The 25,275-nt window shown below is 51.8% G+C and overlaps 1 long non-coding RNA gene across 2 annotated transcripts, besides 1 other annotated feature; it reads left to right on the top strand.

Moving 5' to 3' along the window:
• Positions 7,437 to 8,398: an enhancer, noted in NCBI's record as "H3K27ac-H3K4me1 hESC enhancer chr1:5778898-5779859 (GRCh37/hg19 assembly coordinates)". NCBI's record gives its function as "activates a minimal SCP1, AML or CMV promoter by ChIP-STARR-seq in naive H9 embryonic stem cells {active_cell/tissue: H9 hESC(naive)}" and the evidence as "EXISTENCE:reporter gene assay evidence [ECO:0000049][PMID:30033119]".
• LOC124903830 (uncharacterized) lies at positions 13,278 to 22,925 on the top strand. 2 transcript variants are annotated; one of them, XR_007065441.1, is made up of 3 exons: positions 13,278 to 15,239; positions 18,170 to 18,360; positions 19,932 to 22,925. It is a non-coding gene; the product is annotated as an uncharacterized LOC124903830 (long non-coding RNA). The 2 variants fall into 2 exon arrangements; XR_007065440.1 differs by lacking the exon at positions 19,932 to 22,925 and having other exon boundaries at positions 18,170 to 19,065.
• Positions 22,926 to 25,275: the final 2,350 nt, after the last annotated feature.

The following is a 25,275-nucleotide window of genomic DNA, read 5'->3' as shown; positions in this document are numbered from 1 at the left end:
TTTTATTATTATTATACTTTAAGTTTTAGGGTATATGTGCACAATGTGCAGATTAGTTACATATGTATACATGTGCCATGCTGGTGTGCTGCACCCATTAACTCGTCATTTAGCATTAGGTATATCTCCTAAAGCTATCCCTCCCCCCTCCCCCCACCCCACAACAGTCCCCAGAGTGTGATGTTCCCCTTCCTGTGTCCATGTGTTCGCATTGTTCAATTCCACCTATGAGTGAGAATATGCGGTGTCAGCATCTGGGGTGTCGTAGCTACCAGGAAAAAACTCAGCAGAGGCAGCTGCAGGAGCAAGGGGCAGGGGAACACAGAGACTGTCTGCTGGGGGCTCCTGAGCCTGGCCATGGCTGCGTGCCGGCCTCCTGGCCTGCAGCAAGGCTGCAGGTGAGCAGAAAAGTGAGATTGACTGCCACTGCGCAGCTGCCCACCACAGGTCCAGCCCAAAGCCTCTCACACCCTAAGCACCATATTTTGCCCCATCACCCCGGGGGACATCTGGCAATACTTGGAGACATTTTGGTTGTTACAAGGGGTAGGCTTCGGGGTTAGGGGTGAGAGATGTTGTTAAACATTCTACCATGCACAGGTGGCCCACCCCGGCCACCTGACACGAAAGAGATTTGTCCCGCCCGAGATATCAATAGTGACGAGGCTGAGGATGCTGCACCAATGCTGCTTGGGGTGTCAAAGGCTTTGGGCTGGACCCGTGGTGGGCAGCTGCGCAGTGGCAGCCAATCTCAATTTTCTGCTCACCTGGAGCCTTGCTGCAGGCCAGGAGGCCGGCACGCAGCCACGGCCAGGCTCAGGAGCCCCCAGCAGACAGTCTCTGTGTTCCCCTGCCCCTTGCTCCTGCAGCTGCCTCTGCTGGGTTTTTTCCTGATAGCCCTGACACCCCAGATGCTGACAGACTGCAGGGAGGCCCCGCCATGCCTGGCTGGCTAGGGACCCCATCCTGGGCGCTGAGAATTCAGCGCTTGGCCTCAGAAAGCAGCCTGCTCCTTTTTCTCTCACATTTCCAGGATGCAGCCTGGCCTGAGGCCCTAGGAGTAGGGGAGGGCAGGGTAATCTGCAGGGCAAAGCGTTCAAGTCCCACTCTGCTTACGCTCTTTTGGTTGTTGCCCAGCACAGATGATCAAGTCCAGGGTGGCCACACTCAGGGCAGGGTTTGTGCACTCCCTAAGTCTCCCCAACTCTCAGGCCTTGCTCTCCCTCAGCTCTGAGGACCACACGGCCTTGTGGAGCAGGAACCAGGGAAGGGAGGGAGGGTGGAACACCCCCCATCCTGCCGCTGGATGCTCCAGCCACTGCCTGGATGCACCACACATACTGTCTCCACCGCTGGACTTCTCTGCCCCCCTCTCCCAGATAACGCCACCCCAAGTCCTATCTGTGCTTCAAGCTCCCTCCAGAGCCCTCCCACCCCCAGCCCATGCTCAATCTCCCTTGCCATCCTGTGGCACTAATGGGGCGCATTGCAAGGTTCGGTCTTCAGATGACCTCTCTCTGGAAGCACTGCCTCCTTAACCAGCTGCAAGCTGCAGGATGGCAGAGCCACGTGCCCCTCCCAGAGACTCACACGTGCAGTGAGTATAATGTGTTGAGGACGCTCTGCACGCCAGGTCCCCTGCCAAGTGCTCTGCCTGTGTGGTCACAACAGTCTCATGAGTGACGATGCTGTCATCTTGACTGATTTCCATATGAGAAGCAGAGGCTTGGTGAGGAGAAGACACTGCTACCGATCGTGCAGTACAAAGGGGTACCTCGTCTGGCGTGCATCCCGGGAACAGCTGTGGGCATGCGGTGGGCACTCAAAGAAGACTTGGCCATGTGCGATGATGCTGATATGACCAGAGCTAAGGGGGTACCCCGTGACCCAGGCAGGTGGCAATCGTGCGAGGTCCAGGAAAATGTTGCTCGAATTTCTCAAGGGTCTCTGTTCTTTCTCCTCTTCATGTTGGGACACTTTCTACGTTGCAAAGTTGGCAGCAGGGTGGAGGGGACAGAGAGTGCACATGTTTCTCTGTCTCCCAGAGGTGGACACCTCCCTTGCCTGCCGGGGGCTGAGCCACTGTGCCACCATCTGTGCTGCTCATGGCTGAGCAACTCAAAATGTACTGACCGTGGCTCATATTCTGGGCTTTGAGTCGTCTCTGTTTTACAGCGTGTGTCGGACGCACTGCTCAGGGATTAATTGGCTGCTGCTCAGTGAGCACTTAGGCTGGGAGATGGGCTCGATTCCATGCTAATGTGGCCTGGGAACTGTGGCGCCCAGCCCCAGGGGCAAAGGAGGACAGCTACGTGACCCAGAGGTTGGGATGGGAAGAAATGTCCCTATCTGAACAGGCTGGACAAGAACAGTGCTCTCTCTCAGACTGGGAGCCACAGACCTAAGGGGCTGCTGTGTCCCCAGGTGCCTCAGTAGAGGATGTTCCTTTTATTCAGTGCCAGAAATGATTTTCCCCTCTGTTTGGGATGTTCTTCCCAGCACAGCCAACACGAGGAGCCACAGAGTAACAGCATGTTCCATCTTGCTGGGGTCACAGGTGAGCCAGCATCAGCTTCTGGCCCACTCTCCTTCTACAGCTCACAGCTTTACTTAGCCAGGAAGGTTTGGGCTAATGTGGGCTGACCAGGCACAGGCGTGCGAGGGCCTTTGGGTCTTCTTTGTGCAAAAGCGCTAGAAGAATTCTACAATTTAGGGCTGATCAGGCCCAAGGAAAGTGATCCAACTCTCCCATTGCACAGATGAGAAAAGCAAGGTCCTAAGAAGGCAGAAGGGCTGCCCAGGGCCAACAGTAGGTGGGAAACTTGAGATTAGAGATCAGGATTCACAGGACCCAGCAACCCCACTTCTGGATGTAAATCCAAGGGAAATGAAGCCAGTATGTCCAAGAGATAGGTGCACTCTCATGTTCGTTGCCACACTGTTCACAATAGACAAGATATGGAAGCAACCTAAGTGTCATCAACAGATGAGTGGATAAAGAAAATGGGGTAGAGATACACAATGGAGTATTATTCAGCCATAAAAAAGAGGGAGGCCAAGGCAGGTGGATCACTTGAGCCCAGAAGTTCAAGACCAGCCTAAGCAACACAGTGAAACCCCCTCTCTACTAAAAATACAAAAATTAGCCAGGTGTGGTGGTGCATTCCTGTAGTCCCAGCTACTTGGGAGGCTGAGGTGGGAAGGATTACCTGAGCCTGGGAAGTTGTATTAGTTGGTTCTCATGCTGCTAATAAAGACATACCTGAGACTGGGTCATTTATAAAGGAAAGAGTTTTAATGGACTCACAGTTCCACAGAGCTGAGGAGGCCTTGCAACGACGGCAGAAGGCAAGGGAGAAGCAAAGGCACATCTTACATGGCAACAGGCAAGAGAGTGTGTGCGGGGGAACTGCCCTTTATAAAACATCAGATCTCATGAGACTTATTCACTACCACAAGAACAGTATGGGGGAACTGCACCCATGATTCAATTATCTCCACCTGGCTCTGCCCTTGACATGGGATTATTACAATTCAAGGTGAGATTTGGGTGGGGACACAGCCAAACCAGGAACAATGCTTTGCAACCTTCAATCCAATCAAGTTGACACTCAGTATTAACCATCACAGAAGTTGAGCCAAGTTTATGCCACTGCACTCCATCCTGGGCTATGGGAGTGAGAGACCCTGTCTCAAAACAAACAAACAAACAACAAGAAAGAGGGAAATCCTGTCATTTTCAACAACATGGATGGACCTGGAGGACATTATGTGAAGTGAAGCAGGAGACAAATACCACAGAGAGACAAATACCTTATGACCTTACTTATATGTGGAATCTAAAACAGTTGAACTCACAGAAGCAGAGTAGAATGGTGGTTACCAGGGCCTGGGAGGAGGAGAGATGTTTGGGGAGAATTTGGTCAAAGGACATAGAATTTCAGTTAGAAGAGAGGAATGAGTTCAAGAGATCTATGACATAACATGGTGATTATAGTTAATAACAACGTATTGCAGTCTTGAAGATGTGCTGACAGCAGATGTTAAGTGTTTTCACCAGAAAATAATGATAAGTATGTGAGGTGATACACGTGTTAATTAGCTCGATTTAGCCATTTCACAGTGTCTGCATATTTTAAAACAACATGTTGTACAGGATAAATATATACAATCTTTTTGGTCAAAACAACAACAACTCAGGAGTCACAGTTTCCAGTGTGTGCTTATGGCTGGCTGCCCAGCTCTGAGCTGGCGGGCTACAGTCCACACCAGGGCTGGCACCACAGTGAGGTAGATGGGGCACCGAAGGGGGTAACATTTAAAGAGGAATTACTCTCAGGGCCCTGCAAGGGCCTGCCTCGCCCCACTCTATTCCCGACTCTGGTCTGTGCAAGTGAAGGAAGATGCAAGCTGGGGGTTGCTCAGTCAGCCCCCAGGCACTCCAAATTCCCCCTTGGTGAAACAGGACTTGGCCTGGGGTGCTGGCACTGCCTAGAGTCTACGCATATCATGAAATACATCAAAACAAATCTCAACGCAACTCACTGTAAATCTCCTTTAAAAATACGCGAGAACGGCCAGGAGCGGTGGCTCACACCTGTAATCTCAGCACTTTGGGAGGCTGAGGCGGGTGGATCACCTAAGGTCAGGAGTTCAAAACCAGCCTGGCCAACATGGTGAAACTCCATCTCTATTGAAAAATTACAAAAATTAGCCTCAGACCACTGCACTCCAGCCTGGGCAACAGAACGAGACTCTGTCTTTTAAAAAAAAAAGAAATATATATATATATATATATATATATATATATATATATATATATATATATGTATATGATACAGGCTAGGCACAGTGGCTCACATCAGTAAATCACAGCACTCTGGGAGGCTGGGGCGGGAGGATCACTTCAGCTCAGGAGTGTGTGACCAGCCTGGGCAACATAGTGAGACCTCATCTCTATTTAAAAAACATGTATACATGAGACACATCTTTGCCGCTAGTCCCTTCATCCGGGGGTTCAGACAGTGTCCTCCAGGCCCACTTTCTCTTTTTCATGCTTCATCTCTGCTCCTTTGTATTGGCCTGGTTTTCTTATGGGCTGTGCCTTCATGGTGGCAATATGCTGCCTCAGTTCTGGCAACACTTTCCTCCAAGCCTCTCTCCCAGCAGCCCCTGCAAAAGTCCCATGGCATTTATTTGCTCAGCTTGGATCACATGCCCATTGCTGGACCAATCACTATGGCCAGAGAAATGCAGTGCTCTGATTGGTCAGTTTTGAATCACATGTCCCTTCTTGGGATCAAGGTGGGAGAGGACACCACCCAAACTAAATGTCTAGTGGTGGCGAGGGGCATTCCCAGGAGAAATCAGAGAACACTTATCAAAAGGCAGGGGCGAGAACAAAGCAGCCGGAAGATGCAGTGAGCACCCAAGGCAGTACCACCAACCAAGAAAGACCCAAGTCCCCCAGACAGACACACCCCACTGTGCTTCTGAACCTGTGGGTCATTCTCCACACCCCACCCACCTGAGTTTTCAGACCCCATCCCTGGGTACAATTCAGATTTAAATACCAGTTCAGTCCAATCTGGTAGAATTGACTATAGCTAGTTTAGTCCTGGAAGTGAAATTTCAAAGCGGCATTTAATTTAGACTTAATTATCATGATTTCCTGTGGTCTTGCAGGTATTAATTGTTTAAAAACACCTAATGAGACTTAATCAGTTCATCTACACAAGCCACAGGCCAGGAGCAATTTGTTGACACCGCAGTCAGACAACTCTGGGTGCCTGCCAGGGCAAGGCACAGATGCAGATTGGGAGGGGACGGGTGGGGAAAGGCTGATGGGCTTGTTCTCACCTTCAGAGAACCCCTGTGTGTGATTTTTCATGACCCTCTACCTCCTCCCACCTTTGGGGTTCCTAGATTTGAAAGGAACATTGCCACATTTTCACTGTGTCCTCTGGCCACTGAGCTGAGCCCTTGGCCCCTACCTCCTCCTTCCCAAGCTTGGGAGAGTTTCCGGGGCTTCCAAAGAGAATCTTGTGATTCTCATCATGTCTGCTCATGTTCTACCCTTTGATGGATGGTGAGCTCAGATCCTGGGGCGGAGTGAGGATGTGACTTCTCTCTAGTCAGGCCGGTTTTCAGGCCTCCTGACCCCAGGCTCTGTCCACCATCTTTCAATGTTGTACCACTGAAATCCCCTTTTCTTCCAGTGCTCCTATCCTGGGCTGCGCTGTCACTGAAGTGTTGTGGTGTTGGGTGTTGGGATCCAACAGCCTCTGACCCTGAGTAGCTAGGTGACTTTGGACAAGAGTTTTCACCCCTCTAAATGGTGCATCATCACATACAGTGTGGGTATAGAACTGGCAGTCACAGGGGCCCTTTGGGAGGACTGGGCTAGGGCAGGAGAGGTGTTGTCTGCACAGAGCTGGCCCAGTGCCCACATCTATGTTAGATATTATTATTGTTATTATTAGATCTGCAACATTTATTATTTCAGTACTAACGACGGGCAGGCACCTCGCCAAGTTCTGTGCATGCAAAGACAAACACGCTGTCTCTGCCTGTGGGGAGACAAGTGAATAGACAATTACGATTCAGGGTGATGTTAGCTTTTGCAGCTGTCTTGCTTCAAATGGGATTAAGGCGGTCCATTTTATCTTGACATACCTTCCGCTGTGTCAAGGGCTTGGACTGTGATGAGCCCAGGTGCTGTGAGAGCACTGAGACGGGCTGAATCTCTTGGTGGAGGGAAGTCAGGGGAGGCTTCCTGGAGGAGGTGCTGATGAATGTCTCTTCTGCCATGAGAAGCCACCTCTCCCCTGTTCCCATTGGGATCGGGGGCTGGAGCTCTTTAGGCTGCAGACTGAGCCTGTTTCATCTCCGGGTTGTGTGAAATCATCATGGGTTCAGGAGCGTGGGACACCCTCCAGCTGTGGCCCCATCTCCCGGAGCAGCCATGCCTCCTACTGACTTTGTGGTCCCCCTGCAGTGGGAACTCAGTCACGTAGGGTCCCTGGGGAGCAGGGGTTTGGCCCGTGAACTGACAGAGATGTGGGGCCTGCACCTCCATGGCATCAGGGGAAGGAGGGCTCCTACCTCAGGGAACGGAGAGAGAGGATGTGCTAGGGGAGTCTGGGAACAAACAAGTCGGGGGGCTGGGCTCTGACCCCAGGCCAAGTGTAGAGAAGGTTGTGAGACCACTTGAGGTCATTGCCAGAAGCAACACCACTGCTGCCTCTTTTTGGGTTTCTGAGGGAGACAGATCTGGGATTGCATCTTGGCCAACCCTGGGCACTGCTCCTAGCCTTTGTGGACCTCCGTTTGATCTCTTTAAAGTGGGAAGAGTTGCACCTATTTCTTAGGATCCTTGTGAGATAATCCAAGAAAGATGCCTTTCCGGGGACCAGCACCTGGTGGATTTTTAGGGAGGCTTCCTCCTGCCCACTGCCTAGCCGACACTTCCCCTGAAGCTCGTTGAGTGTCTCCTATTTACCTCTCATCCTCCTGAAACCCCTGACCAAGAAGTCGGCCTTCCACCTACCAACCAAAGGCGTTTTTAATGCCCCAAATGAAACAGCTGCCTTTCCAGGCATATTTCTGCCTCTCTTAGTTCGGAGCATCCCCGGAGCATTGAGCTGTCTTTGGGGTCTAGGTCTCGCTCCTCCTCCAGCCCTGAGCATAGCCCAGGCTTTGGGGACCATGAAGCCACAGGTGGGGTCCGATTGTGCCTGTCTCCTTCTAGAGCTGGGGCTCCGAGGCTGATGTGCTTATGTGTTGTTCTTTTTTGAACCTGTATTGGCTTTGGTTTGTGCCCTGGTGGTGACAGTAGCCACCGTGGCAGGAGCGGCAGCGGCGCCCAGTGGAAGATTCCATGGATGCGGAGGCGGTGTCTTGTGGCAGCAGCGGGGGCTCCAATGGCCCCTTTGTCTTCCCAATGGCCTGGCTTCTCCACACGCTCACTCCCACCCATGCACCCGGCTCCTCAGGGACCGCTGCGGCACAGAGGCGACCTCTGACTCTGCCCTTAGTTTTCCTTCCACTTGAGGGGCCGGTCAGCCTCCTGGGAGCGATTGGTCAGTCTCTGGGCGAGGCGGGCGGCAGAAGCAGAGTCAGTATTAACGATCGCAGAATTATTTCTTGGCCAAGGAGGCTGGGGACAGTGTGTGTCACCAGGGCAATTCTGGTTGGCTAATTGGGCAATTTAAAACACAGGGTTTGAAAGGCCGGCCGCTCTGCCGGCTCTGGGAACCCAGCAGTTTCGGAGATGGATGTGTGTTCACGCAGTGGTGGCGGGTCCTTCTGGGAGTCACACGTCAGGACTAGGGGCAGGACAGGGCGGCGGTCCCAGCCCTGCGTCCCCCTGTCACCATGGTGACCATGGAGAGAACTGTTTCTTGTCTGTGCCTCTCCCCATCACAGAAATGGGTTGTGGGACTAGGGGACTTCTCTGGTTCTGTTCAAAGCTGAGTTTCCTAATCAGCTCCTGCCGCTACCTCTTTACTTCTTCTGAATGTGTATTTGAAACCATAGTTTATTACAGACACTGCTGGGCTTTGGTGTGGGGACTGTTTTTTTTTTTTTTTTGAGTCGGAGTCTCACTTTGTCACCCAGGCTGGAGTTCAGTGGCAGGATCTTGGCTCACTGCAACCTCCACCTTCTGGGTTCAAGTGATTCTCCTGCTTCAGCCTCCCGAGTAGCTGATAGCACAGGAGAGCGCCACCACACCCGGCTAATTTTTGTATTTTTATTAGAGACAGGGTTTCACCATATTGGCCAGGCTGGTCGCGAACTCCTGACCTTGTGATCCACCTGCCTCGGCCTCCCAAAGTGCTGGGACTACAGGTGTGGGGGACTGTTTTTAAGACATTCACACTGGACCTGGGCTGGGACTCTGGCCAGGGGGTGCTCGCCCCTTCTGGAAGGAGAGCTGCCGGCAGTGTCTCCTACATTGAAAGGTGAGGTCCCAGGTCCTCCCGGGGCTGGGCCTGTCCTCTTTGCCAGCTGTGATCCTGTCTCCAGATGTGGCACCCGGGGCCAGCATTGGGAATCATCGTGGCTGCAGGAAGTGAGAAGCTTTGGAGTCAGGGCCATTGCGCCTGGGTCTTCCGAAGGCTGGCGTTGGGTGGGTAGAGAGAGGCCCCCTTGACTGGACCCTAAGAGGTTGGCACTGATGAATATGACTTCCAGAACTAAAATACGGCTGGAGGCACATTTCCACATCCCCATCGAAGATGACCTGCTCCTGCTCCTGGCCTCCTTGGAATTCAGGGAATGCTGCCCGAGCCGCCTCCTGGCGTTGCTTTTCTGTGATTCTCCTTTTAGCTGACCTTTCCGCTTTGAAATTGCCCACCACAGAGCACGTCACACCCCGAGGTTAGGACATTGCTTCACTTCATTCTTTGCTGGGGAAATAAACCAAACCCAAACTTCCTCAATAGCAGGGTCTGCACCCTGACGACTCGGCCACAACCCAGCGGCCATGCTCACAGAATATTCATCCTGATCTTTCCAGAGGAAAATCCAAGGGAAAAAGGTTTATTCTCCTCTTTCCAGAAGGGAGGAAGGTTTATTCTCTACTGTCCAAGGAGGGCTGCTGTTTCTCCAAGGAAGTCTCCCCCTTGACTAGGGAAAGAAGGCTCAAAGCGGGGTCCCCCATGGGAGCCCTGGCCCTGCAGTGCTGGGGAGGGGCAGACCCGGGCTTTGAGCAGAGCCAGGAACGCACTTCTCTTGAGAGACCGTTTGCTCCTCTCTGGAGGTTTCCATCCTGCTGCTATTTTGTGAGCAGGATGTTTACCCCCATGGGGTTTTAGAGCAGAACTTAGCCTCGCTTAGGGGCTTCAGATTTGTGTACAGAGTACGAGCCAATAAGACACCGGCCAGTCCGGGATGTTCTGGTCCAGTGGGCACCCTCAGAGCTGTGGAGCCGTTTGTCCCCAAGGGACATGGTTGGGCTGGCCCTGGCTTGGATCAGGCCCCTGGCATAGAGGGAAGGCAGGGCCCCCTAGGGTCTCAGAAAGGTTGTGTGGGTTGTGCACTGCTCAAGGGCACCTGGCCTAACAGCTGAGCAGGTGCTGAAATCCAGCCTGCATCTGCTCTCCCAGACTCATGCCTGGCTCAGGCCTGTGCCTGCCTTGAGGAAGGGGCACTTTCTTCTTTGCACAAAAGCGTCTGTATAGTTCAGCGGTGGTCCTGGGATCTGCCTGGGCTGATTTCAAAGGAAATGTGTATTAACTGTGTCTTTTGTTTCTGTATTCTGATGCTTTCATATCTCAGACACTATGCTGACCCTGGAAAAGCTGCCCTTCCCAGGGTGAGCCAACTTCTAGAGATCGCAAACAGCTCTGGAGAGAGCCTTTCAAGTGCAAACCAACCAATCCAGAGCCCCCAAGCATCTCCTTTACTAGGCTCTGACACTCTGAGCTACCGGCTATCTGCCTTAATCATCCCAGGGCCGGGCATGGGACAGGCACGCCAGAGTCTGCTGTAATGATTCAAGCTAGCCAATCCGTTCCTTCTTGCAGAAACCACAATCAATGTGGTTTGCCCACCTTTCCTCCCCACTTGCCTCCTGACCAGCCCTGGTGCTTCCCCGTGTGGCCCTGTGTAGGGTGCCCTGCCTTCTGTATCTAGGGAACTGGTAACATAATAGCTCATTTACACATGTGTCTTACCATACCTGGGGAAAACACATCCTGGGGACCTTTAAAACATGTGGCCAGAGAGGCTGTCTGGGGAAGAGCACCCGAGATATTACCTTCTGCAAATCCACCCTCCAGTTCAGGGCCAGCCCAAGGCAGGCTCTGCCAGGGCGTTCTGAGGATGAGTCAATTCTGGGCCGAAGTGTATCCCACAGGAGGCAGGGGGCCGTGTGCTTCCGGAGAAGAGTGGGGTGGGGATAAGTGAGGGGGGATGAACAGGGGCTCCTGGGATCCCCAGGACTCAGCCAGACCTGGACTTTAATCCTGGCTGCACTCAGCAGGTGGGAGATGTTGGGCCAGCCGAGGAAGCTTGCTGACCCTTGGTTTTCCAGCTGGAAAACTGGGGACAAACTCTCCTCCATAGACCCATGGGGAGTAATCCATGAATGCACAAGGCATGCTTCTATTGGGATGACCCCCAAAACTGTCCATATCCTAATCCCTAGTACCTATGAGAGCTATGTTATCAGGCAAAAGGGAATTTGCAGATGTGATCCCATGATGGGGGATTATCCTGGACTATCCAGGTGGGACTGATGTCATCACAATGATCCATGTGACAGAGATGAAGAAAGGACAGATAGAGGAGACACCTCCTTTGCCTAAGTGATCATGGAAGCAGAGATTGGAGTGATGTGGCCACAAGCCAAGGAATGCAGGCGGTCTCCAGAAGCTGGAAGAAACAGGAACAGATTCTCCCCACTCCTAGAGCCCCCAGAATCTCTAACTCTGCTGATGTCTTGATTTTAGCTCCATACCACTGATTTCAGACTTCTGATCTCTAGAAATGTAAGAGAATAAATATGTGTTGTCTCAAGCCACTAGGTTTATGATAACTCGTTGCAGCAGAAACAGAAAACTAATTCAGGCTATTGGTTGTTGTTCTGAGTGCAGAATAGCTGGTACAAGCTCTAATTCTGAGGACCAATAGCCTTGGATGAGAGTCTTAGTCTGTGTGACCTTGGGGATATTACCTAACCTATCCGTGCCTTGGTTTTCCCATCTGTAAGGTGGGGATGAGAATACATCCCAGCTCATGTCATTGTTAATGTTATGTCTGACACGTGTGGAGAACTTGTTGAATGCCTTAGTTTAGAATGCTTTTCTTTCAGCTTTTAAGTTCAGGGGTACATGTGCATGATGTGCTGGTTTGTTACATAGGTAAATGTGTGCCATGGTGGTTTATTGCACAAATCATCCCATCACACAGGTATTAAGCCCAACATCTATTAGCTATTCTTCCTGATGCCTTCCCTCCCCACAACCCAACAGGCAACAGTGTGTGTTGTTCCCCTCCATGTGTCCATGTGTTCTCATCCATCAGCTCCCACTTATAAGTGAGAATATGTGGTGTTTGGTTTTCTGTTCCTGCATTAGTTTGCTGAGGATAACGGCTTCCAACTCCATTCATGTCCCTGCAAAGGACATGATCTTGTTCCTTTTTATGGCTGCATAGTATTCCATGGTGTATATGTGCCACATTTTCTTTATCCAGTCTATCATTGATGAGCATTTAAGTTGATTCCATGACTTTGCTATTGTCAATAGTGCTGCAGTGAACATATGTGTGCATGTATCTTTACAACAGAATGATTTATATTCCTTTGGGTATATATCCAGTAATGGGATTGCTGTGTCAAATGGTATTTCTGGTTCTAGATCTTTGAGGAATCACCACACTGTCGTTCACAATTGTTGAACGAATATACACTCTCACTAACAGTGTAAAAGTGTTCCTTTTTTTCCACAACCTTGCCAGCATCTGTTGCTTTCTAACTTTTTTAATAATGGCCATTCTGATTGGTATCTCATTGAGTGAGATGGTATCTCATTGTGTTTTGATTTGCATTTCTCTAATGATTAGTGATGTTGAGCTTTTTTTCCCATATAATTATTGGCTGCATGTGTGTCTTCTCTGGAAATGTGTCTGTATATAAATATTACTATTATCTACATTTAGATAGAGACCTAGAACCAAAGGCCTGGTCTTTTCCCTGCTCAGGACACAGGGTCTCCATGAAAATGTTGTGGATAAATTCTTATTGGAGGATGGAGGGAGGTGGCAGATCTAGTCCATAGTCCTCAGGTGACAGATAGGGAGCCAAGGCCAGAGCTGGAGCTTCCAGGATAGCCCAGCAGGTTAAAGTCAGTCAGCTCCACCGCCAAGTCCCAGGGTGGTGGTGTCTGGAGACACTAGGCTGCCTCTAGATGCTACTGTGCATGTGACTGAAGGGGGACAGCCATCTTCAGACAGCTGTGGGGTTAGTGACATGGCTCTCGGAGGCCTGAGATGCTTGTCTGTTAGAGCCCAGCTCCTACTTCTCACCTCCGCTGTGTCACCTCCTGCCCCTGGCTGGCCAGCACCCTCCCACCTAAGACAGATGAGCAAGTCTGTTCCTCAAATTAACATGGCTTTCCCGTGACATTGAGCCATGATATTGCTACCATGAGTTGGATTGGTGTGAACCGTGGCCTACCCAGAGTCAGGGAAGTGAGTTAAAAATGCTTTTTCAGAAACATTCCCTACCCAAGAAGTCTACAGTTCATCTTAGAAATTCTTTGTTGCATTGATCTGGGCCCACACTCTTGAGGCCTCAAGTATCACTTTCAGTTGTTTAACTCTAAAAGGGAGCTGTAAAACATCGCCGGAGAGGAGTCTTGCATGTTAAGCGTGGGGAGATAAATCAAGGGAGGAAGCGTTATGAGAGGCCAAGTGCAAAAAGCACATTTTCAGAAATCTAAACCAGACAGACGCTTGCAGCTTCGGATTGGCATCCCCGGGAGTCTGGATGGGGTGTCAGACCATCCGGGAGGAGCTCCAGCCCTCAGTGATAATGGAGCGCTAAGCCCCCCGCGGGCGATTTCCGGGTCCCCGCAGAATCCAACCCTCAGCGGTAACGGAGCGCTAAGCCCCCCGCGGGCGATTTCCGGGTCCCCGCAGAATCCAACCCTCAGCGGTAACGGAGCGCTAAGCCCCCCGCGGGCGATTTCCGGGTCCCCGCAGAAGCACATTTCCTTCCTCCTCCCACACTTGACTCCTTCAAGGTCGGGCTGTTACCTCCACTGTGCAGCTGCAGCCAGGACTCAAGGAGCAAAGCGACTTGCCCAGTCACACCCCATGTGACTCTGGGGACATGCATGGAGTCACCCCAGCCCTCTTGAGCCTTAGCCCTTCTCTGGTTCCATTCTGATTTTCAAAGAAGGAAATACACAGATAGGAGGGGTTCCCAGGCGGCCCATGTCCTCTGGGAGTGCGGTAGGACGAGAGTGTGAAGGATGGCAGTGTCTGGGACAGAACCAGGCCCCCAGGTGCTGGCCTGGTGATCACATGGAGGGCCGGTTGCCTGATCTTAGGTCTTCCTTGTGGGGGGCAACAAGGATGTCCCTGGGGAAGGTACAGCCAGCACAAAGATAAAGATTTGGGAAGCAGCCTTTATTCTTGTCTGAGTCTGGTCTATTCTTGGATCCCTGGCCCAGTCTGCACCCGCTACATCACAGGTGCTGTTGTAGGGGCTGGGGAAGGAGCTGTGGGTGAGACCATGTCCTGCCTTTGCTGAGCTCACCCTGTGGTCTTCCCAGCAGCCTGGTTCAGAGACAAGGAGCAGGGTGAGGGCCTGGACAGTTCTCAGTTGCCAGGAAGGGCAAGGGCACACTGTGGGGAGGACAGCAGGTAGACCAGAAGGACAGACCACTGCCTTCAGAGTCAAAGCCCGTTACTGGAGGCTTCTGGACATCAGCCACAGCAGGAAGTAAGAAGCAGGCTGGGGATACGAGGGACTGCTCTGGTTTTAACCTGCCCTTTATGACTCCTTGAGGGCATAGACAGTGTCCTACACAGGCTGCCTGGCAGCTTGGAGGGTTCTCACCGCTGAGTGCCGCCACTCAGAGTGAACCTAGGGGGCCGTCTTGTGCCTGACTTGCCTGGGATGCTGCTGCCTGCTTGCCCATTTGAACACCTTCTGGTCCATCACCTTGATCTACAGCATGGCCTTGGCCTTGGTTTCCCCATCTGTGAAGGAGAAGGCTGCCCTACATGCCCCCCGAGGGCTCTCCTTGCTGGACAATGATTCCCCACTCGTGCCAGACACCCGCTTTATGACCGGCTGTGCGGAAGCTGTGACGGTGCCTTCCCCGGCGGAGGACAGTGCGGTGACCGGCTGTGCGGGAGCTGTGACACGGTGCCTTCCCCGGTGGAGGACAGTGCGGGGACCGGCTGTGCGGGAGCTGTGACACGGTGCCTTCCCCGGCGGAGGACAGTGCGGTGACCAGCTGTGCAGGAGCTGTGATGGTGCCTTTCCTGGCGGAGGACAGTGCGGTGACCGGCTGTGCGGGAGCTGTGACGGTGCCTTCCCCGGCGGGGGACAGTGCGGTGACCGGCTGTGCAGGAGCTGTGACAGTCCCTTCCCCGGCGGGGGATGGTGCGGTGACCGGCTGTGCGGGAGCTGTGACACGGTGCCTTCCCCGGCGGGGGACGGTGCGGTGACCGGCTGTGCGGGAGCTGTGACGGTGCCTTCCCCGGTGGGGGACAGTGCGGTATTTATCTGATGATGGGTTCCTTTTCTCCCCACTGTGTCCGGCAATAATGATGGAGCGCCCAGGAGTGCCGGAGCCATTTTACTTTTATTTTATTTCTTCCTGAAGTTCAATACTTTCCAAAGCACCTCCGTGTGGTAATGCTATTTTCCTGGCAGGAATGCATTTATTGAAGCTGTCAGTCACCCCTGGCTTCTCCATCTTGGCTCTGCGGCAGGCCTGACGAGTGATGTGGCCATCTATAATTTAAAGGCTGATAGACCCAAATTGCCCATGCAGACCTTGCCGGTGGCACAAGTTAAGGACAAGTTCTTTGCAAATTGGTTGCCTAGTAGTTTCGTGGCCCTAAGTGACTGAGTTTTCTCTCCTGGCCAGTTTCCCTCAAAGGGTTGGCTGAGACCCTCCAAGATTGTTCTTGTCAGTCTGAATGAACTGCCATGGTGTGAGGGCCCTGGGAGAGGGACCTACAGCCTACTCTGTTTTGATTGAAAATAAGGGGATGGGACTCTGATGAGGGAGGTCAGGGCTGGGGGTTGTGACCCAGAGCAGGTCACAGAAAGATCACAGGTTTGAGAGCCAGGTGGGCTTGGGTTCGAATCCAGGTCCACCACTCCCCAGCAGTGATTTCAGACTCCATCTGTGGTAGGGTTGGTGATTCCCACGCTTACAGGCAGTTGTGGAAACTACAAGGGGAAGGGCGGGCCACAGGGCTTGGACACCGTGGGTCCCTTGTCTGACGACTCATCATGCCCAGGGTCTCTGGACTCTAGGCCTGGGGTGGAGGCAGTGTCAGCCCTCAAAGTGGAGGAGCTCTCCCTTCTCCCTAAGTCCTGGGGCCGACGTTTGTGTTATTGGAGGTTCTGCACTGAGCACCTTCTCTCTCCTCCACTGAAGTCTCCATCTTTTCTGGAGACCTGTCTATATCCTCTGCTTTACACACTCCAACCAAGCCACAGGGTTTCTGCTTAAAATACTTATGGGCTCTATGCTAAGGAGGGGAGCCATAGGCGTTTAAAAAGTACTTATAATGGCTTGTTTTGAGAAATAGACTAAACTTTCCCTACTAATTTGTTGGTCATATGAACTTTCAGGCTTTTTCAGGTCTGCTTCCTTTTCTTTCTTTCCTTTCTCTATCTTTCTATCTTTTTCCTTCCCTCCCTCCCTCCCTTCTTCCTTCCTCCCTTCCTTCCTCCCTTCCACTTCCTTCTCCTTCCCTCCTTCCTTCCCTCTTCCCTCCTTCCCTTCCTTCCCTTCCTTCCCTTTTCTTCCCTTCCTTTCCTTCCAACCTTCCCCTTCCTTCTCCTTCCTTCCTGCCTGCCTGCCTTCTTCTTTTCTTTTTTCTTTTCTTTTCTTTTCATCTCTCCAGCTGAGTGACTGCCCTTCCCCAGAAACAACCAAGTATATTTGCATTAGTCAATACTGTGGTTCAAAATAGTAGGAACACAGCTCAAAATGCCTTACATAAAAACCAAAAAATCCATTGGCTTCCTAAATTGAACCTGGAGAAGGATCCACGTGGAGCTTGGCCCAGGGAACAGGGGCCTGACTTCTGTCTGCCAGCTCCTGCAGCCCCGTCCACCACTCCCAGTCCCACCTCCCTGCCCATTGGCTTTGTCCTTTATGCAGGCTGCCTTTCCAGGGCTGCAAATGGCCACTGGCCTCCTTCTTTCCAGTCTCTCAGCCAGAGACGAGAAAGACCTCCTCCCTTGGCTCGAGGAAGAAAAATCCCAGGGCAGGCCTCTCATTGGCTCTGCTCACATCATTTTCCCACCCTTAGAACCAATCATTGTGGCCCGAGGGTTCAGATGCCATGACTGACAGCACCACTGCCTTGTGTAATTGGACCCTGTGCAGAGCAGGTGCCCCAAAGGAAAGAGGAAGGAAGTGGGAGGAGTGGGGGGAACCCAGAAAGGCCAGGAACCTCTCTATTTGCATCTTCTGAAGTATTTCTCCTTCTGGCTGAAAAGGGGACACAGAGGGGGCCTTGGTCCTGGATTTCTCCAAAAGCATCCCCCAGGAAATGGCTGCACAAGTGGCCACCTCAGAATTTTCACTCTTCCCAGCTTCCCTGGAGAGAATGGCCGCAGCCTTAACTGGCTTTCCCACACTCCCAGGAGCACCGGGTTTTCTATTTCAGTGTCCTCCTGTCTGAGGGAGGATGATTAGCTGGTAGAGCCACATCCTAATGTTTTGGCTGGAAACCAAGGCACTTGGGGAGCGCGTCCAGCTCCTGCAGAACACATGCTCCCACCCATCCTGTGCCCACTGATGACAGGGAAGATGGGAGGTGGGAGGGGAAACAGCAGAGAGACAGAAGCCCAGGGCTGACCACACAGCCTGGGCACTGCTACATCCAGGCACAACTTCAGCTCTGGAGCTGACAGCGGCTGCAGGGATCTTGCTCTTGTTTATGGTCCTTCCCTCTCTGTGAGTGTGGGATGGGTGAGGTGCTGGGAGTCACGGGCCCTTCCAGGTTGAGCTGCAGTGAATCTCAGCTGGGGGACATATCCAGTGCCCCTTCCCTCTCTGAGCTCCAGGTTTCTCACCTGGGAAGGGCAAGAAGCAGCAAGAGAAGGGGGTGGGGGTGAGGACCCAGCTGCCACCACATCCATATCCTTGGCTGTTCTATTTCTTCCAGGAGAAATTGGCCGGTGCGAGAGGGCTGGGCCCTTTGCTTTCCTCTCCTCTTTGGAGATGGTGGGGCAGGCAGGAAGCACGGAGAGGTGTGGTGGGGCGGCTGCCCAGGGTGGACAGAATCCACATTTGAGTGGGGGCTGACTTTGAACCAAGCCCACCTGCCCCAACCTGAGCCTGTTCTCTATCTCACTACACAATTGATGAATGAGGTTTTTAGGTTTTAATAAGTCAGTAGGTCCAGATGTTTCCCAATGTATGTTACGAATGCTAATTATCTTCTAATTACTTATTAGCCGAGGCTGCGCTGGCAACCAGCGCCCCAGAAGCACAGCCAGATGAGTCCAGAGCTTCGGAGAGAAGATTAACTGACGGCTTCTTCTGGCAGCCGCTTCCAGAGATTTCTCATCGCCCATAGGGTTCTCTCCAGTAGTTATTATTTTTGGAGGGGAGAAACCCAGTGGTCTCTGCACTAGGGACGGGTACAGTTAAGTTTTTGGTGCCTCGGAGGTACCTGACACCGGCCGGGCTGACGTGTTTCATCTGGCAGCTCTCGCACTCAATCCCGCCACACCCAGGGCTTAGGAGGGCTGGCAAGACGCAGGGGCCTCGCTCTGAAATGGGAGGGCAGGCTGCTCTCCTCCTAGGCCTTGCCTCTGTATGCCCCTTCTTGAGCCACTGGGCATCCATTCTCTCAGACTCAGGGCCAAGGCCAATAGGAAGGGAGCTTCCCCAAGCCGAGCCTTTGGAAAACGTTTGCCTGCCAGGGGCTCACGTCAGTGAGGGTGTATCTGCCACTCTCTCTCTCACGTCCAGCTTTGAACCTTGTCAGAAGGCCGTGTCCTCTGTGCCACAGTTCCACCTAATGCCAGTTAGTAGGCGAACCCTCTCTTGTCAGGAGACCAGCACTGGCATGGAGGTGGAGGTGCCTCCTTCGGAGGTCCATATTGAAACTCTGGAGGCGGCCGATACCTAGGCGCAGGCCTCTCTTCTTGTTACTGCCACCTCTTTGTTCATCTGGCCCAGCTGGCAAAGAGATTCTGCGGGAGGTCATCCTTGATGGAAGGGCCCATCCGTCATCTCCCTGGTAGATAGGCACCCCTGCCCACTGCGGCAAACCCCTACTTCTGGTTTCCTTTGGAACCCCTTTGTTATTCATGAGGATTACAAATAGACAGTGTGAAAAGTAAAACAGATGGCTGTATTCATCAATCGGGGCAGTGTGTACTAGTTTTATAGAAAATTATGACCTGTTTTTTTCCTGGTATTGAGGTTGCATTGATCTCTGTGGACTCCATGGGGCGTGACACATTCATTCTTCTGGTTGCAGATGCTGGATTGATGTGTGTCCTTGTGGCGAGTGATGCATTTTGCAGAACCCTTCTGGCATCTGGTGGTTCCTGTGTGTGTCACCAGATTCATTCATTCCCGCATTCATGTATTCATCTGCCTACCCACACACCCGTCTATGCACTCATATTAACATTGGTCCATCCATCCACCCACCCACCTGTCCTTCTTCCTCAGGACCATTTGCTGAGTACCAGGCAGCTGGTTCCCTGTGGTGCTTAGAATGTACGCTCCTGGAGGGTGGGGCGGTGTGGGTGGAGCTTGTATCAGCCTGCTCGGGCTGCCGTGACAAAGGACTGCAAACTGAGTGAGTCACACAACCAAAATTGATCACCTCACAGTTCTGGAGGCCAGGAGTCTGAGATTGAGGTGCAGGCAGGGCTGTGTTCCCTCCAAAGGTGATAGGGAAGTGTCTGTGCCAGGCCCCTCTCCTGCTGCTGGTAGTTCTTGGTTTGTGGCGGCATCACTCCAATCATTACATGGCCACAGTGTCCCCTCTGTGTGTGTGTCTCTGATTCACATTTCCCCTTTTGATAAGGATGCTAGTCATTTTGGATTAGGGGCTCACTCTTCTTAACTAATTACATCTACAATGCCACCATTTCCAAGTAAGATCACATTCTGAGGTCCTGGGGGTTAGACTGCAGCATGTGGAGATCGGGGGATACGTTTCGACCTGTAATACCAGCTGTGTTTCATCTCCCCCAGAGAGCACGTTGGACCATTCCCAGGCCTGTGCTGAAGAGCAACTTGCAACCGGGAGAGTCAGGTCCAGTCAGAGCTCCAGCTTCATGCCTGGCCTGGAACCTGATCACTTCAGCCAGCAAATGCCAGCTGTCACCTGCCTCCAAGACCCATTAGGAGGAGGTTCCAGTCAACCCAATGGATCACCTTGGCTTGGTATAGACAGTTAAGGTCAAAACTCCCAAGCATGCTTTTCCCACCAGAAGCATACAGCAAGGAGAGCTAACCTTTGCTGCAGTGCCCACCGTACCCTGAGCTGGCAGCACATTTAGTGGGATGAAGAATGTGAGAGGATCATTGCATACATCCACCAGCCAAGTGTAGGTTCAGCAGCATTTAACAGAACTCTTCCCAGTGACAGTGTCAAAACAGGATGGGTCCTTCATGTCTCTTTTTGTGTAACAGTAGTTTGGAGGTGGGTGGCTGTAGGAAGCTGTTAGGGATCAATACTTAGTCTGTCCTCATCCTCATGGTCCAAGATGGGTGCTAGAACTCCAGCCATCTCATCCATGTCCCAAGCAGGTGTCCCCTCTTAGGGAGACTTCCTGGAAGTACCATCCAACACTTTGCTGATATCTCATTGGTTAGAACGGAATCACATGATCACATCTAGTGTAAAGGAGGCTGGGATACATAGTTTTGTATTAGGTTGGTGCAAAAGTAATTGTGGTAATAATTGAGCACATTGTTGTCCAGCTAGAAATTGGGTTCTAAGGAAGATAGCAAGAATGGATGTTGATCAGGCAATTGGGAGTCTCCACATTTGCCAACAGTCTTGTCTGACCACCTCTCCGGGTGGCAGGCCGAGTGGATTCAGGGAGCACAGTGTTGGGGACAGGCAGGAAAAGGCACGGAACCACAGCACCATGTTCCACATTGCTGTCCTTGGAGTGGGCTGTCTTAAAGGATTTATTTTAGTTATGTGAGGGGCTTGAGTTCCCCAAATGGTCAACTCAGCTTTCAAGAGGTTTCCAGGGGTCAGGAGAGCGGTTTCTGACCCCCGCACTCCAACAGTCCATGGTTCTTCACCTCAAGGCTGCTTAGCACTTCGGGTGAATGAAGAAGGCACACGGGACAGTCTGTCTTCTGTGCAGTCACTGGATCACCCTGGGATAAAGTCTCCCCCAGGCCCTGTCATAGCTCTGGTCCTTCTTAGGAAAGGAAAAGTCCTATTATTGTTTTTAGTTACACGTCATCTTCCTTTTCTTTAACGTGTCTGGTTGAGCAAAATCATCAAAACCCAGATCTTTGTTCAACGCCTGTGTGTCTGGCCCTCCAGCCCGGCCCGGTCAAGGCTGGCAGCCTGCAGTGGGGAGTGGGGTGAGGGCCTTCTGCTGTCTTTAGTCCCACGGGTCTGGACCTCTACTTCCTGCTGGGTCCCAAGGCGCATGGTCCTTTCCAGGTTGGAGGGGGAGGGTATGAGGAAGGGGACAGGGAGGGGAATTCGGCACCAAGAATTTGGGGGGCTTCTTGGAGAATGATTCCTATCCAGTCCCTGGAATGCTGCTGTCTCGACGGAGGCCAGCCCTCTCCTTGCACTGCTGGGGCTTCCTGGCTGGCCCCAGGGCACCTGGCCATGCACTTCCCACAGGTGCTGAGGGCTCTGATCCATCTACTCCTCCCAGGAGGGTCCTCTTTAAAGGGACCCCAGGCCATTATCCTTACCAGGAGACCCACAGATTGGCCCCTGTGGTTGGTGGGGAGGCATCTCCCTTCAGCCCTCTCCTCCTTCTTCCGCTGGGAGCCAGGGCTAGCCACAGCCTGGGTGCAGACTGGCCTTTGGGAGCGAGTCCCTGCAGGCTGTGTCCTGTGCACTCCTGGGGACAGACAACAGTCCCTCTGCCCACCCCCACAGGGAGCTCCTTCAAGCTCCTCTCCCTTCCATGAGGTGAGAGTAAGGGCCTCCACCCATTCCCTGGAGGGGAGGAATACAGGGGCCTCACAGCCTCTTTCTAAAGAAGAAACCAGCTTGACAATCTCCAGCTGCCCTCTTGGCTTCTTCAGCCCTCGAGGTGGGTGAGGCTGAGGGCTGGCACACGGGGGCCATGCACGTGCAGGTGCACCTGCTGCAGACTGTAGAGTCGCTGCTGGCATCATTCGACTTTGGCCTCCAGCAGAGACTGAGTCAGGAGCCCCATTGTGATGTTCTAAGAATCACCGGAGCAATTTGTTAAAATGCAGGTTCCTGGGGACAACCTCCAGAGACTGGGTTCAGCTGGTTTGTTATGGGGCCAGGGGACCTGCATTGACCCCATACCCCAGCTGATGCTGATGCTGGGGGTCCTGCAGGGACTTTTGGTTGTCCTTAGGGGTGGAATGCAATACACAGTCACCATGGCAACCCCCATCCTGTTTTTCTTGGAGCCCACAGGCCCAAGACCTTTCTCAGCCCGTCTCGGCTGCCTTTCCAGACACTCCACTTAAATGGCTGTTTTATTTTGTCATAGCCTGCGGATCTAGTTAAATGCCTATAATACAGCAGTGTTATCTGAGAGAGACACGCACACTTTCTTGACTAGATTTCCAAGAAATTTTATGAAAGGCTGATTTTCTTTGAAAGGCCTGGCTCCTTTATGTGGTGGAATAGAATCGTTTTGGAATTGATATTCTCAAGGACGGCGAGAGCCTCCTCCCGTCTTCCACTATTCTAAGATGTTTGTAGTCCCTCTCTCCCTTCTTCTTGCTGATAACCGAAGCCCGCCGCCTCTTCATCTTCAAAAGCACAACATAAATTAGATGAAAAGAGTTTTTGTATAAAATATTTAACCCCTCCTTAGTTCTTGGACAATCCCAGCGGTGTTTGCATGGCTGTACCGCCTTAAACCTGGCGGTGAGAGGAACGCAAGCCTGGGCGTCCGGTCCTCTCTTCCCCACCCACCTCCCTCTGCAGCCTCCTTTCCGCCCTCTGGATCCAGCCACCTGTGCTCCAGCAGGTCCCCGGAGGGCCTTAGACCTAGCTCTGCCTGGCCTGCACATGGCATCCCATAACCGTGTGCATTTTCTTTTTTCCTTTCTCTCTTTTTTTTTTTTTTTGAGACAGAGTCTTGCTCTGTTGCCTAGGCTGCAGTGCAGCGGCGCGATCTCAGCTCACTGCAAGCTCCGCCTCCCGGGTTCACGCCATTCTCCTGCCTCAGCCTCCTGAGTAGCTGGGACTACAGGTGCCCGCCACCACGCCCGGCTAATTTTTTGTATTTTTAGCAGAGACGGGGTTTCACCATATTAGCCAGGATGGTCTCGATCTCCTGACCTCGTGATCCACCCACCTCGGCCTCCCAGAGTGTTAGGATTACAGGCGTGAGCCACTGCATCCAGCCTCCACGTGCATTTTCTAAAACCGACTTCAATTTATTTTATTTTAATTTTTTTATTTTTTATTTGAGAACAAAGCCTTGCCTTTGTCGCCCAGGCTGGAGTGCGATGGTGCAATCTCAGCTCACGGCAACCTCTGTCTCCTGGGTTCAAGCGATTCTCCTGCCTCAGCCTCCCTAGTAGCTGGGACTACAGGCACATGCCACCACGCCTGGCTAACTTTTTGTATTTTTAGTAGAGACGGGGTTTCACTATATTGGCCAGGCTGGTCTGGAACTCCTGACCTCAGGTGATCCACCTGCCTTGGCCTCCCAAAGTGCTGGAGCTACAGTCATGAGCCACCGCTCTTGGCCAACTGACTTCAATTTTATCCTCCTTATCAATCTTGGGTACCTCCTCCAGGCCCCATATGTACAGCTTTGGAACAAAGTTTTTGCCCCTTCTTGCCCCTGGAGGGAGGCAGGACTGACGGGTGCCTGAAGGCTCAGGACAAAGGATGCAGGGGAATGCCCAGGGACAGGACAGCTTCTTAGAGGTTAGTGCCACTGCCCAGCCCAGACTGCCTTTTGGGGTGACAGTTCAAACCCAGGTCCACCACTGGAATATGACTCAGCCTTAAATAGGAAGGAAACTCACATACCTGCGTGGCTGAACCTTGAGGATGCCGTGCTAAGTGAAATAAGCCAGTCGCAAAAAGACGGATACTGGATGATTCCATTTGTAGGAGGTCCCGGGGGTTGTCAAATTCACAGAGACAGAAAGTAGGATGGTGGTTGCCAGGGGCTGGGGAGAGGGAGGAATGGGAATTATTTTTTATAAGTACAGTTGCTGTTTTGCAAGATGAAAAGAGCTCTGAAGACGGATGGTGGTGATGACAGTGACATAAAATGTGAATGTACTTAATGCCACTGAATTGTGCACTTAAAAATGGTTAAAATGGGCTGGGCGCGGTGGCTCATGCCTGTAATCCCAGCACTTTGGGAGGCCAAGATGGGTGGATCACCTCTGGTAGGGAGTTCGAGACCAGCCTGACCAACATGGAGAAACCCTGTCTCTACTAAAAATACAAAATTAGCCAGGCGTGGTGGCGGGCGCCTGTAGTCCTGGCTACTCAGGAGGCTGAGGCAGGAGAATCACTTGAACCCAGGAGGCAGAGGTTGCAGTGAGCCAAGGTCGCACCACTGCACTCCAGCCTGGGCAACAAGAGCAAAACTCCGTCTCAAAAAAAAAAAAAAAAAAAAAAAAAAAAGCATGTTAGGTATATTGTACACAATTAAACAAATGAATTAAAAAAAGAAAAAATCCAGGTCTATCTCCTAGGAACTGTAAGCTTAGGGAAGGCTTGAAGCCTCCATTTCCTCATCCAGAAAGCAAGGACGTTATACAAATCAAGGCTGACAGGAGGGTTTTCTGAGAGAAAGGAGAGAATCACGATGTGAAAACTGTAGCCCACCCCAAAAATACAGAACATGATTGAGAAATCGTTTGCTTGTTTACTAAGTTTTCAGAGTTCATTCTCAGATATATAGTTTGCAAATATTTTCTCTCATTTGGTAGCTTGTCTTTTAATCCTCTTGAAGGATCTTTCGCAGAGCACACATATTAAATTTTGAGGAAAGCCAGTTAATTTCTTACTTTTACAGATTGTGCTTTTGGTATCAAGTGTTAGAACCCTTTGCCTAGCTGTAGATGCTGAAGTTTTTCTCCAATTGTTTCTAAAAGTTTTAGAGTTCTATGTTTTATTTTATGTATTTGATCCATTTTGAGTTGATGTTTTAATTAAAAAGACGAGTTTCTTTTCTTCTTTTTTTTTTAGCCTATGGACATCCAATTGCTCCGTTAGAGCATTTGTTGAAAATGCTTTCCTTGCTCCATGTGATGACTCTGGTGCCCTTGTCAAAAGCCAGCTGGGCCTATTCGTGTGGGTCTGTTTCTGGGTTCTCTATTTTGTTCCATTGGCCTATAGGTCTGTCTCCCCGCAATCCCACACTCTTAGCGA

This window comes from Homo sapiens, chromosome 1 (assembly GCF_000001405.40).
Source record: "Homo sapiens chromosome 1, GRCh38.p14 Primary Assembly".
NCBI lineage: Eukaryota > Metazoa > Chordata > Mammalia > Primates > Hominidae > Homo > Homo sapiens.
The sequence above is the reverse complement of the archived record's forward strand: the minus strand, read 5'-3'. Positions and strand labels throughout refer to the sequence as shown.